General features: G+C 35.6%; 1 protein-coding gene across 5 annotated transcripts in view; it reads left to right on the top strand.

Annotated features, from left to right (window-relative positions):
- Nucleotides 1–15,732, top strand: part of CDH8 (cadherin 8) — a 389,189-nt gene that overhangs the window by 130,961 nt on the left and 242,496 nt on the right. For all 5 annotated transcript variants that reach the window (NM_001796.5, XM_005255760.5, XM_047433482.1 and 2 more), the window contains exon 3: nt 4,005–4,299. In NM_001796.5, coding sequence (NP_001787.2) covers nt 4,005–4,299 — 295 coding nt within the window. The remainder of the gene's footprint in view (nt 1–4,004; nt 4,300–15,732) is intronic.

Raw genomic sequence — 15,732 nt, 5'->3', positions numbered from 1 at the left:
TCAATACATTAATAATAACCATAATTAAATATATTAATTACATATATTAACAATATATTACTATGTAGTTTACTAAAATATTAATATATTAATGGCTCTATTTCCCCTAAATTTTCTGTTTATTTGTTTCTGTCTCCCACAAAATTATGGTATTCTGAGAGCAGAGACTTTGTCTGTGTCTCCCTAAGACAGAGAAGAGCATGGGGTTTATCGAATGAATGGATGAGATCTTATTGTACTACAGCCAGCTGAATGAGTCCTACCTGCCCAGGCGGGATTGCATGTGATTCTGATCCCACTCTGATGAGCAGAAGCAGCCCTTGGAAGAGATGGCACTCGTTTCTCTAGATCACCCTTCCCCAGCCTTTTTGGCACCAAGGACCAGTTTTGTGGAAGACAATTTTTCTACAGACTGGAAAAGGTGGGAATTTGGTTTCCAGATGAAACGAATCCACCTCCGATCATCAGGCATTAGATTCTCATAAGGAGCATGCAACCTAGATCCCATGCATGTGCAGTTCACAATAGGGTTCCTGCTCCTATGAGAATCTAATGCCACTGCTGATCTGACAAAGGGTTCTGGGTGGATATGTTGACAGGGCAGTGTTGTTGCCTTTATGTGAACAAGGTATAACACCCTTACGTGAAGAGCAGCAGAAAAAACAGCAGCTTGTAACCATGTATCCGCTCTGTGTTTTATATGTTTCACATGAAATATTCTTAGCTCATTTTGTTTCTAAAAAGGAAATGATTACATGAGAAGTGATTCACATAGCCCTTATCACACAGATAGTGACCCATAAAAGGTAGCTAATCATAATCACTTTCAAGAAATGTATCAATAAGTTGAAAATAACACTTATATTTTTGTATTTTTCTCCTTGACCTTTCTTTTAAAATCATTTTAAAAGCATTTTGGTTTATACCAAACAGTCCAGAGTATTTTTTAAGCAGTAATGTTCGCTCATCTGCTGCTCACCTCCTGCCCTGAGGCCTGGACCAGAATTAGTTCATGGCCTAGAAATTGGGGATCCCTGCTCTACATGATGCACATATGTGAACATTCAGTGCATTTGGGATATCTTTGGCGCCATAATCTCAGAGAGGAGGTTCTTAGGGGGCGTACGTTGACCAGGCAGTGTTGTTGCATTTAAGTGAATATGATATGACACACTTATGTGAAGACTGACAGAAAAAGCCACAGCTTGTAACCATGTATTCTGTACTTGGAGGGCCAGACCTGCAGCCTCAGGTGACGTTGCTCTCTGTAAATTGCTGGTTTTGCACACCTACAGTCTTTTCTTATATTATCAAGTTGGTTACCTGAACAAGTCATGTGCAAGAGTATGTACATGTCTGTGTGTGTCAGTGTGTGTGATACAAATAATAGGATGAAATAAATGAACATACATATATTGTGTTCTGAGATTATCATTGGCCCCAGGATCTGGATTTTACTTGGATAAGCTAAAAGTGAAATTTCTGAAAGAAAGAGGACGTATATACCTCATTTTTTTTTTTTTAAAAAGTGCTGTATATTTAAAAGCTGTTTTTGAATGGAGTCTTGAGAATTTACTTTCACTTACATTGGAACTGGGATTATCACAATGTTTTCAGATAGTTGCATATGACTGAATGTGATATGAAGTAAAAATGGTCACTTAATAGTGCCTCTTCTCTGTTTTAATAATTTTCGGATAGCTGGATGGTTTCAGTTTCTAAAATCAGTTCTGCAGATAGATGCTTTATCCCCGTCTTCTAGGCAAAGTAACTGAAACACAAATAAATGAGTGAATTTCTTCAGTTCATGTAGTTAGAGAAACCAGAATCTTAGCTTTGTGTTTTGTTCTTTCAAAAACCTATGCTTCGCCGGGCGAGGTGGCTCACGCCTGTAATCCCAGCACTTTGGGAGGCCGAGGTGGGTGGATCACAAGGTCAGGAGATCAAGACCACAGTGAAACCCTGTCTCTACTAAAAATACAAAAAATTAGCCGGGCGCCGTGGCGGGCGCCTGTAATCCCAGCTACTCGGGCGGCTGAGGCAGGAGAATGGCGTCAACCCGGCAGGCGGAGCTTGCAATGAGCTGAGATCGCGTCACTGCACTCCAGCCTGGGCGACAGAGCGAGACTCCGTCTCAAAAAACAAAACAAAACAAACAAACAAAAACCTATGCTTCTTTTTTATCATTAGTTACTTCTCTTAGTTAATTTTAACAGAAGGGAGCATTGAAACATAAAATTGTAATATCATTTAATAATCAGAGGCTATTGATAATTAGAAGAAAATATGGCACAAATAAGTTTTAACATAAATAATAATGACACCAAATGTAATAGTTTATTTGTTAATTAACAAAGTTTTGTGGACAAAAATGATACATACTGATCCCTTCTGTGTCTCAAGAACTCCTTGTATGTGAATGGAAACTTCCATGAATTATATATTATTCAAATTTTTTTAATAAAAATGCTAATGAAAATGTTAACATGTGCATAAATTAAAATGATCCTAAATTAGGATTAATATCACATTAATGAATTATAATCCCACATTCATTAAGATAAAGTGGCATTTCAATATTTGTTCATGTTAATACATTTTATACAATAAATGAAAGGGATACATTTTGAGAATCAATAAATATTTGATGTAATCTTATGCTTTAACTTTAAAAAATATTCAAAAGTAAAGTAGGAGATCTAGATGCATTTGGAATCTTTGTTGCTATTTTATGTCTTTTTTATAAGCCTTTCTTTTCACTTATTGAAGGGCTTAATACAATTTAAATTGTTGAAGAACGTGAAAGAGGCTGTTCTGAATAAAAGGGATCCCAAGAGAACACAGCATCTTTTGAATTTCTAGGAGTTTCTTTCCACAAGGCGGTTTTTTTTTTTTTTTTTTGGAACAAATATTTGAAATCTCAACTGGAACTATATTGGCAGTTAAGTAACTGAGTTAAACTGAAAATATGTACATTGAAGTAGTACATCGCAATGGGCTTTTCTTTTAAAAATTCAAACCCCCAAATACATATATTATTGTTTTATTTTATTTTAGTTTTTTAAAACAGGAGAGACACCGTGTATAATATTAGAATACTCCTGTCTCCAGCCTGAGAGAAAATTGTCAGAACCTTAAAACCAGGGATTCTGTTTTCCCTGGTACCTACCAAAATGTTTTAGGCAGACTATTTGCCTGACACACAAATTCAGTAAATATTCATTGCTATGACCAAAAATGGATTTGGGTTCATGGTGAAAAGTTGTCATTTTCTGAAGGGGTTCCATTTCTGGAAAATGTACTCCTAAATTCTGGCCTCAGTGTTCTTCTCTATAAAATGGGAATGATTTTCCTGGACTAGACGAATTGTCAGAACTAAAGGAAAAAAGACTTTCAAAAACATAATATCTTAATATCAGTCAATATATTAGAATTACTTTTGTTTGTATAAACATCACAGGCAGATCTGAGTTGAATTCTGGATCTACCATACTTGAGTCTGTCAAATATAAACCTTGGAGAGGTAAATATGTGCCTCGTTCAGCATCAGTTTTCTTATGTGTCATATGAAATATTCTTAACCCAGTTTTTTAAATAAAAAGGATATGATTATATGAGAAGTGATTCACCTAGTCCTGGGCATACAGATAGTGACCCATAAAAGGTGACTAATCATAATAATTTAAGCAAATGTAATAAATGGAAAATAACACATATATTTTTGTATTTTTCTCCTTGACCTTTTTATCATTCTAAAAGCATGTTGTTTTATACTAAACAGGCCAGAGTACTTTTTAAGGACTGTTCTAACTTATTTAGATGAATTTCATTATATTTTATTCTTAATTGATATCCGCACAGCTGCATACACTTTGTACAGCTACTATTAGCAGAAATTGATGATGTTATGTAAAAAGAACCAACTTAATATTCAAAAAGGAGGTAGTTAAAAAAATAACTTTTCAGATTGCTCCATCACTAACTAATGCCATTTTTCATTTCAGCTACACACAGACCTGGATCCTGGGAGCAAAAAAATCAAGTATATCCTATCAGGTGATGGAGCTGGGACCATATTTCAAATAAATGATGTAACTGGAGATATCCATGCTATAAAAAGACTTGACCGGGAGGAAAAGGCTGAGTATACCCTAACAGCTCAAGCAGTGGACTGGGAGACAAGCAAACCTCTGGAGCCTCCTTCTGAATTTATTATTAAAGTTCAAGACATCAATGACAATGCACCAGAGTTTCTTAATGGACCCTATCATGCTACTGTGCCAGAAATGTCCATTTTGGGTATGTATGCTTCCAATTTCACAGATCTATTAAAAGTCATCTTTAGAATAGCTCCTGGCATCAAGGATGGTGTATTGCTGAATGAAAGACATTTATTACCACCTTATCTCTAATTTGCATTTCCAAATCCCCCTTTTTGGCCTAAGTTCCACAGCTCAGTAGCTTTAGTCCCTTAGTAACAGGAACTGATGGAAGAGCAATTTTATTAAAATATCTTTCCTTACATGACAATACTTCAATAAGCTGAATTTGTATTCCTCTCATAGACTTGTAGTTTGAGTATTGTTACTGAGGCAGATTTATCAAGATTTGTTCTAACATGCCAAGCTAATCCTGTTGATATTTGCTTGATGTTTAATTATTTGTTTGTGTATATTCACATGCAGATGCAGCACACAGAGAAACAGAAAGTCATCTAGGTCTGTAGTCAGCCAGATATTAGGTTGCTCTAGTGGTTCATGTCTAGGGTGGATTAGGCAATCGACATTACCAAGGGCCTCTGTATTTGTGTCCATCTTAACAACATTTTTTAGGAGTGACTGCTAGTACCATTGACCCACTCTCAATTTTTCTGAGTCATTGAAGACTCCATCACATATTACAGAGCAGTCTGTATTTCAAACATGATTTTATTCTTGTTTCTCCCTCTTTGGAATCTGCTTATCTATCCCTAAACCCCTGCCATGATGATAAGAAACCCCTCAACCCAGACATTCTATAATAAAAGGAAGGATTTTAGAGCTCTTCCTTGTATGATAAAAGTAGTAGGCAGAATCTAAAGTTCAAAGTATAAGATTACAAAAGCCATTTTTTAAAATGTGTAGTACATATCCAAGTTTGTTTCAAGTTGCATTTAAGACAGCCTATAAGGGTGCATGCTATGTAGTAAAGTCACATAGCTTTGAAGCAGGTGAACAAGGTGAGACAAATAAACACAGGTAGAGATAAATTGGAAGCCAGAATTTGGTAAATACAGACATGTATATTCATTATTTAAAGCCCCCAAACTTAACATTAAAGGAACTGCGAGAAAAAATAAAAAAAAGAAATATGATCAAGAACCCTGTTCTCAAGTTTTATAAAATTAAGTTGCTCAAGAAAATTGCAAATAAATAAAGATATGAACACCAGAGGAAGTATACAGACATATAGTGTCTTCAATAACATCTTCACTTTAGACACAAATAAAGGCCAAGTATTGATTATGGTTTTCAAGGCTAAATTGGGTGACCATTGTCAGGTATAGTACAGAATGCCTTACCTCCCAAATGTGGTCCTGATATTTTAATTTAGCAATCCAGTGAGATACTCGTGTGTGTGTGTGTGTGTGTGTGTGTGTGTGTGTGTCTTTATAACATTCCTGATGGAAATTAGTTGGAATTTAAATTTCAAATAAAGAAAAATCTTTTGTAGAATAAATGACTTAATTTGCAAGTAAGTTATTCTCAGGCATTTCTGAGAAAGAGAATATCCTAGTTGTTCTCCTTGACTTGATCTGTTTTATGTTTGAATGACTTTCTCTTATTTTGTCGCGTACTCCTTAAGGTGATTTTGTTCCTCAGAGTTCTTTTTTCTTCCCCATAATACCTTTTCCTATCCCTCTTCCTCTTTCTCACCCTTCTCCATTAGTTCTCCTCCTTCATTTTCTCCTCCTGTTTCTTCTTCTCTTTATCCCCTTGCCGTTTCCTTTTCTCTCTCCTTCCCTCCATTGTCTTTCATGGTCACCCCTGTATCTTCAGCCACTTGTTTAATGTGGCTGGCCGTAAAATCATATGCCTTGCCCCATTGGTCTGCTTAAGCTGTTAATCCACATTGTCAGTTGCTTTATGAACATTATCATCTGGATATTTCAAAGACAGCTCAAATTTCACATTAAAAATCAAACTATGTACATGGCTGAAGCTGGAAACCATCATTCTCAGTGAACTAACACAGGAACAGAAAACAAAACACTGTATGTTCTCACTCATAAGTGGGAGTTGAACAATAAGAACACATGGACACAGGGAAGGAAACATCACACACCGGGGCCTGTCAGGGTGTGGGGAGCCAGAGGAGGGATAGCGTTAGGATAAATACCTAATGTAGATGATTGGTTGATGGGTGCAGCAAATCACCATGGCACGTGCATACCTATGTAACAAACCTGCACATTCTGCACATGTATCCCAGAACTTAAAGTATAATTTTAAAAAATGCATAGAAAAAATGACTAGACAGAATATCCCAAAATGGCATAGCAGTCACTTTTGGGTAGAAAAAAAAAATCAAACTAATTACTTTCATGAATTTTTTTTTCCTGCTTTCTGACTTCCATGACTTTATCAATGACTCTGATGCACTCTCAAATCCCACGTACAACATGGAAGCGATATTGTTGAATCTGTTTTTACTCATTAAGCCTCACCAGTAGTCTGCTCATTTAATCCCTAATTCCAGTCACTACTGACTGCTGTGTAATCTTAATGCATCATCTCATTTCTTTCTTTCGACCACTCTCCAAAATCATATCTTAATGACCCTCACTGGATTATTGATGATCTCAGTAATTTTCCAAATAGTGTGCTTGATTCTAACCATGTTATTTCTTAGCTGATATATGTGTTTATCCCAGAGGAAAAAATATCCCTTACATTTTATAGGTGTTCAGCTACTTACCCAGGGGGACTTTTCATGGTCTGCTTCATTTGATTCTTTTCTTACCTACCTACAATATGACTTTGGTAGATACACCCATTCGGCAGCAAATCACAAGTGATTTCAGGTCTTGATTTGTTATCCATATATTTCTTCTGCCAAGACTCCACTTTATCTACCTCTTGTGAAAGGAGCTCTATTTTTTTTTCCTTCTTATCAAAATTACTACTTCTTTTTTTTTTGAGACAGAGTCTTATTTTGTTTCCCAGGCTGGAGTGCAATGGCACCATCTCTGCTCACTGCAAACTCCGCCTCCCTGTTTCATGCCATTCTCCTGCCTCAGCCTCCTAAGTAGCTGGGATTACAGGCACATGTCACCATGCCCGGCTAATTTTTGTATTTTAAGTAGAGACGTGGTTTTACCACGTTGGTCAGGCTGCTTTTGAACTCCTGACCTCGTGATCTGCCCCCTTCAGCCTTCCAAAGTGCTGGGATTACAGTTGTGAACCACCGCGCCTGGCCCAAAATTGTTTCTTTATGGCTGGCTGGAATGACACTTTTCCTAGGAAAATGTCTGTGTTTTTCTCTCAGAAAGTTATCTTTCTGCCATCACCACCCCCACACACACATAAAAAACACACAAGCAAGCAAAAACACCTCCATCTTTTCACTTCGTTTGGCTTCTGACTTACAAACAGGAACTGAGAAACACTATATATATATTTCACTTTTTTTCATATTGTTTGGTCATTTCATTTAGGCCAGAGAACTCTCTAATTCATCCTTTCATCTAGATTAGAGTAAGATGGTTTTGATGAATGATTGCTGCCCACAAAACATACAGCACACTTTATCTTAATTGTTAATAAACATTGAACAGAGAAGCTGTTATTTTTGCCTCATTATGATTTCTACATCTTCATGCCAAGCCTATATCTATTGATTGTGTGTCAGAGGCTCTCATTTCTGTGTATGTAAGTCATGTGTCTTATAAATATGTTAAGAAAGAAAACTGCAGAAATATCTGCAAACATCAAGTCCATTTTCAGATAAGAAAAGGACTTAAAATATATTACTAGCAGCCAACATGGTGAAATCCTGTCCCTACTAAAAATACAAAAATTAGCTGGGTGTGGTGGCATATGCCTGTAATCCCAGCTACTCGGGAGGCTGAGGCAGGGGGTTCACTTGAACCTGGGAGGTGGAGGTTGCAGTGAGCGGAGATTGTGCCACTGCACTCCAGCCTGGGAGACAGTGCGAGACTCCGTCTCAAAAAAAAAAATTATCAGCTACGTAATGAAGTGCCTTTATGCACTTGTAAATACATACATACACATGTATATATTTCTCCATCTAAAATGTTTTTGCTAATAGAGTAGACATTTCAATAATCCACACTAACATATATATGTTGTATATAGAATTCATAGTTATGTATGTTATATATATTTATATATTATATTATATATATAATAAAGATATATATGTATTATATATCTTTAGCCTGCGACATATCTTCCAAAAACCACAGAGGATGTGTTGAAGTTTCTGGTGGGAGTTTGAACCCTGGTTCTATCCCTTATTATCAGGTTGACTATGAAGTTTGGGGAGGTTAAATTTTTGCCATTTTCCTTAGCTATAAAGCAAGGATAATAACTTTTATGTTGCTTTCATTGTGTGGGACTTGCATGACAAAGTACAATGTAAAGGTATGCCAAAAAGTAAATAAGTGTTCCACAATTGGTTGTTGTTTATGGCTTTAAAATTATTTTTATTAATCTGTTTCCCACCTTACCTTTGGACCTTTCCTTATATATCGATTTTATGCATTGGATGTCTGGTGTCTGTGTGACTACAGCCTCTCTGGTTAAAGGAAGCAGAGGCGGCTGCATTATTTCATTGCGAAGTGTGAATTATTCCCTTCATTTCTCATGAAGGTGAATATCTGGAAGAAGGTCAGCTACCATCGCTTTTTTCTTCCTCTTACCACTGTTCTTCCTTAGCCTGTCTCTTCCCTCCCCTCCTTCCTTCTTTCATTTTTCTTCCTTCGCTGTGGCAGAAATGCCAGCACGTGCACCTGTATGCCCTGAGGAATGCCAGCAAAGGCTGAGGGATTTCATTGTGCAGAAAGTGAAGAATACAATTCTAATTGAGAAATTTACCAATATTAAATTGAAATGAATGTGATGTTTGAGAACTGTCTTCCAGTTGACAGGCTGTCAAGACAAAACGCACATATATATTTGCCCAAATGGCAGCCAAATTATTTTAGAAATATCTTATTTGGAAGCTGGAGACACAGTTCTTTTTTATTCTACTGTGAATTTCATGACTTGATGAGCTTGTGAGCTTGTCTGATTTTAACTGTGGATCCCAAACTAGCGTTGCTGAAGTTGGTTTTTCAATGCAAATGTCCCTACCTTTAGTAAGTTCTAGACATTTTAAATATATATTTGGATTGTTTTTGTGTATTGGGGTCAAGTGTATTTTAATCCTGATTGTTCGCTAAACCTGGGTTTGAGTAAAATGAACTTTTTTTTTTTTACTTTGACTTAGATTTGCAGGTTATTTGGCTCCAAATCTGACTTCTTGCGTAAGTGGCATAAACCATCTAAGCTTGACTTTCTCTATCTCTATAGTGTATACAATAATCCCTGCCCAAAAGTGTGTTTGGAGGAATTCAATAATTATATTTAACGTGCTACCTACTTGGCCTTTAGTTTCTTTACAACCATTCCTTTGTGACTTACTTCTACCAGTATGATTCAATAAATTGCCTGTGTAATACGAATACATGGGTTAATGAAAAATTGCTTGACAAGACCTAACTTTATATTTCAAAATGCATATGTTGGAATGAATCCTATTTTACTCAAAAGCATATTAGTGAAGGCTGAAATAAAGGGATGAGAAAGAGAGTAGTGTTTAAGTTGGTAGAAATTATTGCATTGTTGTGTGCACAGATACATAAAACATGACACTTGGGGTATTCTTAGTTTTCTCTGAGGTTCAGGGCTACTGTAATGATGACCAATACGTATTGAGAATTTACTATATGCCAGAGGCTGTGTTAAATGCTTCTAATATACACAACAATACTATTATGTTAGTACCGATATTAGTTTTTCTATTCTTTATTTTTAATCAGAAAATTAGGGAAAATGCTACATAATATAAAGTCAGATATTAAGTGGCTGAGCTGAAATATAAAACCAGACACCTGGTTCTACCTCCCATGGGCTTAACCAGTATGCTCTACTGATCTTTGATTATATCTCTAGATAATTCTGTTTATAAGAGCATTATGATTCTGCAGCATGTTTATAATAGTTAATGTTTTTCCGAGGTGGAAGAACTCTTGAGGTCAGCCTACTTTGCAAATTAAATTGAAGTACTGAGAGGAGAATTGGATAGGAAGTTTAAGGGAGGTATTATATAATTTTCAATATAGGAATATGAGCACTTTAAAAATGTCAGAACTATACATCACGTAGAAATTCAAATAACAATAAAATTAATGAAGAGCTATGTGATAATTACTGCTAAATATATTAAAGCCTAACAAGAGTAACTTGAATGGACTCTGGGTTTCTTGGTAGCAAATGCAAAAGAGGAATGCATGCTCCACCAAAAAATATTAATTGAAATATCAGAAGAAGGTCAAAAATTACTAGGTAAATATATAGTTGAAAAAGGCAAATCTCAGTCTTTTCCAAAGTGGTTTCACTGAGGAGGTTATAGAAGTCAGTATATGATGGGCAAGTCTCCTTGAACAACGACTTCTTAATTTAATGTGAAAATTATTAAATAATTTCAGTCTTTCTCCTTGTGTAAAATATGGCTATGTTTTCCTCTTTTGGAGGAATGCTCATAGAAAACACATACTATTTCTCTTGTGCTATTTTGTTATCTTTGATTTAGAATAAATTTAATCTTAGAGAAAAATTGCAAATGTTGTACAAATGTATTGTTTCTGAACTGTTTGAGAGTAAATTGTTGACATTTTGACCCATCTCCTAAGTAAGTCTTCCTGTATGAATGTTATTCTAAGCCAACAAAATACAATCATCAAAATTAGGAAATTAATCTTGACACACCATTGATATCAAATACACAGACCTCATCAAATAATCTGCAGCTGTCCCAATATCGTGGGTTTTAGTAAAAGTATCATATCTAGAACCACACTAACGTAAGACTTATTCAATCTGGAAGGGCTCTGCAGTCTTCTTCACTTATGACTTTCACACCTGACCGTGGAACAATTGTTTTATAGAATTTCTTAAGATTTGTCTGATGTTTCCTTAGGATTAGATACAGAATATGCATTTTTGACAAGACTATCACAGATAATGCCTTACTAATTTGTATCAGGTGGTACATGATTTTGATTTATTCCATAATTGGTGACAATAATTTTGATCACTTCATGAAGGAAGTGTTTGCCCTGCATCTCCATCATAGTTTTTTTTCTTTTTGCACTTAACACTTTATGAACAGATACTTAGAGACTATGTAAGTATCTTATTCCTCATGAAACTATTAACCCAAAATTTTAACATCCATTGAAGTTTCTTGGCTGAATTAATGATTACTATGAGAGCTGCCAAGTGGTGATTTTCTTAATTCCATCATTCTATCTACAGTCATTGGTTAGCATTCTTCTGCAAGGAAAATTTTCTCTTCACATTAATTTGCTTGTGTATTTATTTACATTAGCTTTGACTTTTCGATTTCTGTTTTATTTAATGAATTATAACAGGTTGAGTTATTTATCCTGATGCTCAGATTATCTGACACTTGGTCACGATGTGTCCTTGGGGCTGAGTTTTGTGTCCTACTGACATGCCTCCATCATTCTTTGAGTGCATTCTCACCTTTTGGCCCAACGCGCTGTTTGAGGCTCATTTTGTACTTTTTCTAGCCCAGCCCTAGAATTAGCCATTTACACACACACAAAAATCTGGTTCCGTTTAAAGGAGAATTGTATTTACATATGAAAGTCTGGGCATTAGTTGTGTTCATTGTTATTAGGATGTCAGTGTTCCCAAGCCTTTTCAGTGGACAGGGCAGAACTAAGGAACATTTGGGAGAATGTACACACACACACACACACACACACACACTCACACACACACACATCTACCTGTACTGGGTTGGATAGCGTTCCCCAAAACTTGATATCCATTCAGAACCTTAGCGTATGACCTTATTTAGAAACAGCGTTTTAGCAGATGTCATTAGTTAAATTGAGGTCACACTGGAGTTGACTGGGCCCTAAGTCCAATGATCGGTGTCGATCTAAAAAGGCTGTGGAAAGATACAGACTCACACAGGGAAGAAGGTTGTTTGAGGACAGAGGCAGAGATTGGAGTTTTGCTGCCACAGCCAAGAAGAACCAGGAGCCACACATAGCTGGAAGGGGCCTAGAAGGATCCTTCGGAGGGAACTGGTGTTGGATCTGACATCTTGATTTTGGACTCCAGACTTCTGAGAGAATAAACTCCTGTTGTTGTAAGCAGCATTTTTGGTAATTTGTCATGGCAGCCCAGGGAAACTAACACACTATGTATCTCTCTATTGAAAACTACAAGTTCAGCTCTATAACTGCATTCTAAAATGACAACTCAGGCTTCATTTTGGTTTTTTCCCCTTTCTTTAACAGTGAGGAATGTATCTCTTTATTTTTAATATAGTTATAAATTAGCTCACCACTTATCCTTGCAGTAGCTTATCTCCATTTGCTACCTCATCCATCGCCTTACTCCCCCCACAAGTATTTATCTACTGTCTCACTCTTCCTCTACCTCCTGTTGTTATGTGGTGTCCCAACTTGCCCAGCCACACCTTATAGCAGAAGGTGTTCAGGCAGAAGGCAGAAGTTAAGAATGGAGACAGGAATCTCCATAATACTCTGTATTTTTATTTGTCTGTATATTTCTACTGTTTCTTATATCAGAATAGATCGGTGGCAACATTTTCTGATCTGTATTCAAAACTGGTTTAGTGCAAAAAAAAGTATAAATGTATTTGATAAACACCAAATTAAAGAAAGTGAAACTGCTTTTCCTATTTCAGTCTCTAAAGTATAACTGTATATCATAATTTGATAAATTCATCTAATATACTCTTTGGGAGATTTAGACATATTGTATGCTCTTTTGGAAATTCATATTCATTTATATGACCCCAGTAACTATTTTTTCAAAAGGATCCTGCAGGCATTACAGAAATTTACTCCACAAAAGCTCTAGAGACACATATCTAATGAGAATACATTTTTGGTTTTATGAAAGGCCACATGTTAATTTAGCAAGCAGCTAAATAGTAAAATTTGCACTTTCTAAAAAGTGAATTGTAAATTATGATGACTACAGGTTACATGGATTAGCTTGTGATTCTTGTCATTGCCCAGTACATATTTTATCCTCCAAAATAAAGAATATTTCTGAACTAATAATTAAAGAGGCTCATTTTCATATTTTTTATTATTAAAGGAACAATTTGTGTCACATAGGTTTAAAAGATCAAAGGATGTACATACTGACAAACTGTCTTCAACCTAACACATTTCTTTTTTATAATTTATAGGTTGTGTCTTTCTTTCTCCCTCTCGGCTAGATTTTAAAAGAATTTGGCAGCACTTCTCTATTTTTAAAGGAGAGATGCAAAGTGGGAAACGGGAAAAGCATATCTTGATGGATTTGATTATATTTTTTCTTGTTTCATTCAGCGTGATGAACAAAATTGAAATTCTTTAGGAAAACATGGGTGGGAAATCATGAGGATTGAAATAAACACTTTCAAAAGAAATCTAGCTGTTCTACCTGATACGAATGACTAAGGCAGCTGTGGTTCCAAAACTCTACAATGGGGTGAGGAGTCTGTAGTTTCTCTTCTGCTTAAAGAAGCTAAACTTCTATTAGAGATATGTAGGCAGTTGATGCAATCAGTGAATCTTTTTCTTTTTAACTTTATAATGAAAGTGAAGCAATGGCTTCTAATATGTGAATTTTTGTGCTATTCAAAGGTCTCCCTAAATGGTCTATGGTTTAGAAATTACCAGATTATCCAAACGGGGAAATTGGTTACAGTTAATTGTTAGGGGTGCCTAAAATGCATTAGTCTTCCAAGAGGCATTGAGTTATTTCTACATTATGTCTGAGAACAAGCTTTGCAAACAATGATGACAATATGAACAAGGTTTATTTGAGTAACTTTTGTGATGGGAGAGCTCCTTCATCGGATTTTGTTTTAACATTTGCTCATTTGTACTCCCTAAATTATAATATTACATTTTATTAAGGAATTAACTTATAACAGAAAAATACAATTAACCAATTTTATTGCCCTGTATGGGCTGCCAACTGTTTTTGGGATCTTAGGTTGATAATTCCACATCCCTGATCTCTTTAATTTAAAAATATGTGGTCCAACCCTCAACCTTATATATTATATGTATAAAATATATATATAAAGCTATGCTAACAAATGTAGAATAGCATAGGAAAGTTTATTATAGTCTTATAGAAACATCGCTTTCAGTCATTTTGAAAACAGTTAAAATTATAGAACTATTCACTATAGGGCTGTCTGAGCTGTCTCAGATTCACCCTGTCTGGGGTCCCATTATCAACATAAGCTGGGTGTTTCCAGTGCACTCTTCTTTTACAATTGGTCTATGGACTTAGGAATTTCAAGTAGGAAGCAGAAAATCTTTGAATTATTTCTAGAAGATGAATTCTCAGTCACTATCCAATAAAAATTCCTCAGAATGACATAAATCACAAGAAAATGTGATGAAAAACATCACTTGATTTCACAAGGGATAATATTGGTATCATTTTTTGTTATCTATAATAGAATATTACATAAAGTATATTTGAAGGAATTACAAAAAGGCCTGAAATTTGAACCTACTGGAACAAAATTTAACAATCTCTTCCTCTTACCCCACCGCCATAGGTAAACAATGTGTCATTCCTGGCGGACTGTGATTTGTTGCCTCAATTTGATTTAGAAACCTATATCTCTTAGTCATAGGCATCTGATAATTTGAATTGGTGTTTCAGATTTATTAAGATTAAAGAATTGGCTCAGCACTAACAATGTCTAAGTGAAGAGGCAACACTGATGATGTATCTTGATCTGTGTCTTGTAAACTAGTGTCTTTAAGCCAATTTAGCTATATACCCATTAACCAATAGCTCCCAGGCCTATTCACAGTAGTAGCTAATGCTTAAGTTTTATTTCCCTTTTAATTTTTTCCTGTTATATCTCTGTGCTTGCTAATTGGAATTATCTTAAACTCGATTTGATTATCCTAACATTGTCTCTTTATGTTCTTTAGAAATACATTTTCTACTCACTCACATCTTGGCTCTTGCTATTTCTAAATACATTGGTTTTCCTCTCTAAAAACTGCACCCTACTCTTCTGTTCTCAGAGATATATTTTATGGTCAGCATTTCAACCGAGCCTTCTCTGAGCCCTTCTGAAGAAAATAAGACATCAACCACTTTCTATTCAAGTAATGTTCTGGTACTTGAAATATTGAAAAGTGTTTTCAAATCAGTCAATCTGCACTTATCATAAGAAAAATCAAAACACTTAGGAAAAACTTTGTATTACAGGTAGAGGATTGAGGAAAGCAGGTAGGAGTCTACACAGACAACCCCATGATCCTGTTTTCTTTCTTGCCTCTTTTTGCCCTCAGATGGGAATTAATATTTCAGGATTCAACATATTTGTTGATTCCAGAAGATAAAAAGGCAAATCTTCCTGTTTATTCAAGCC

Source organism: Homo sapiens, chromosome 16, assembly GCF_000001405.40.
Source record: "Homo sapiens chromosome 16, GRCh38.p14 Primary Assembly".
Lineage (NCBI taxonomy): Eukaryota > Metazoa > Chordata > Mammalia > Primates > Hominidae > Homo > Homo sapiens.
Note: the sequence above shows the minus strand (reverse complement) of the source record. Positions and strands in the feature narration are given on the sequence as shown.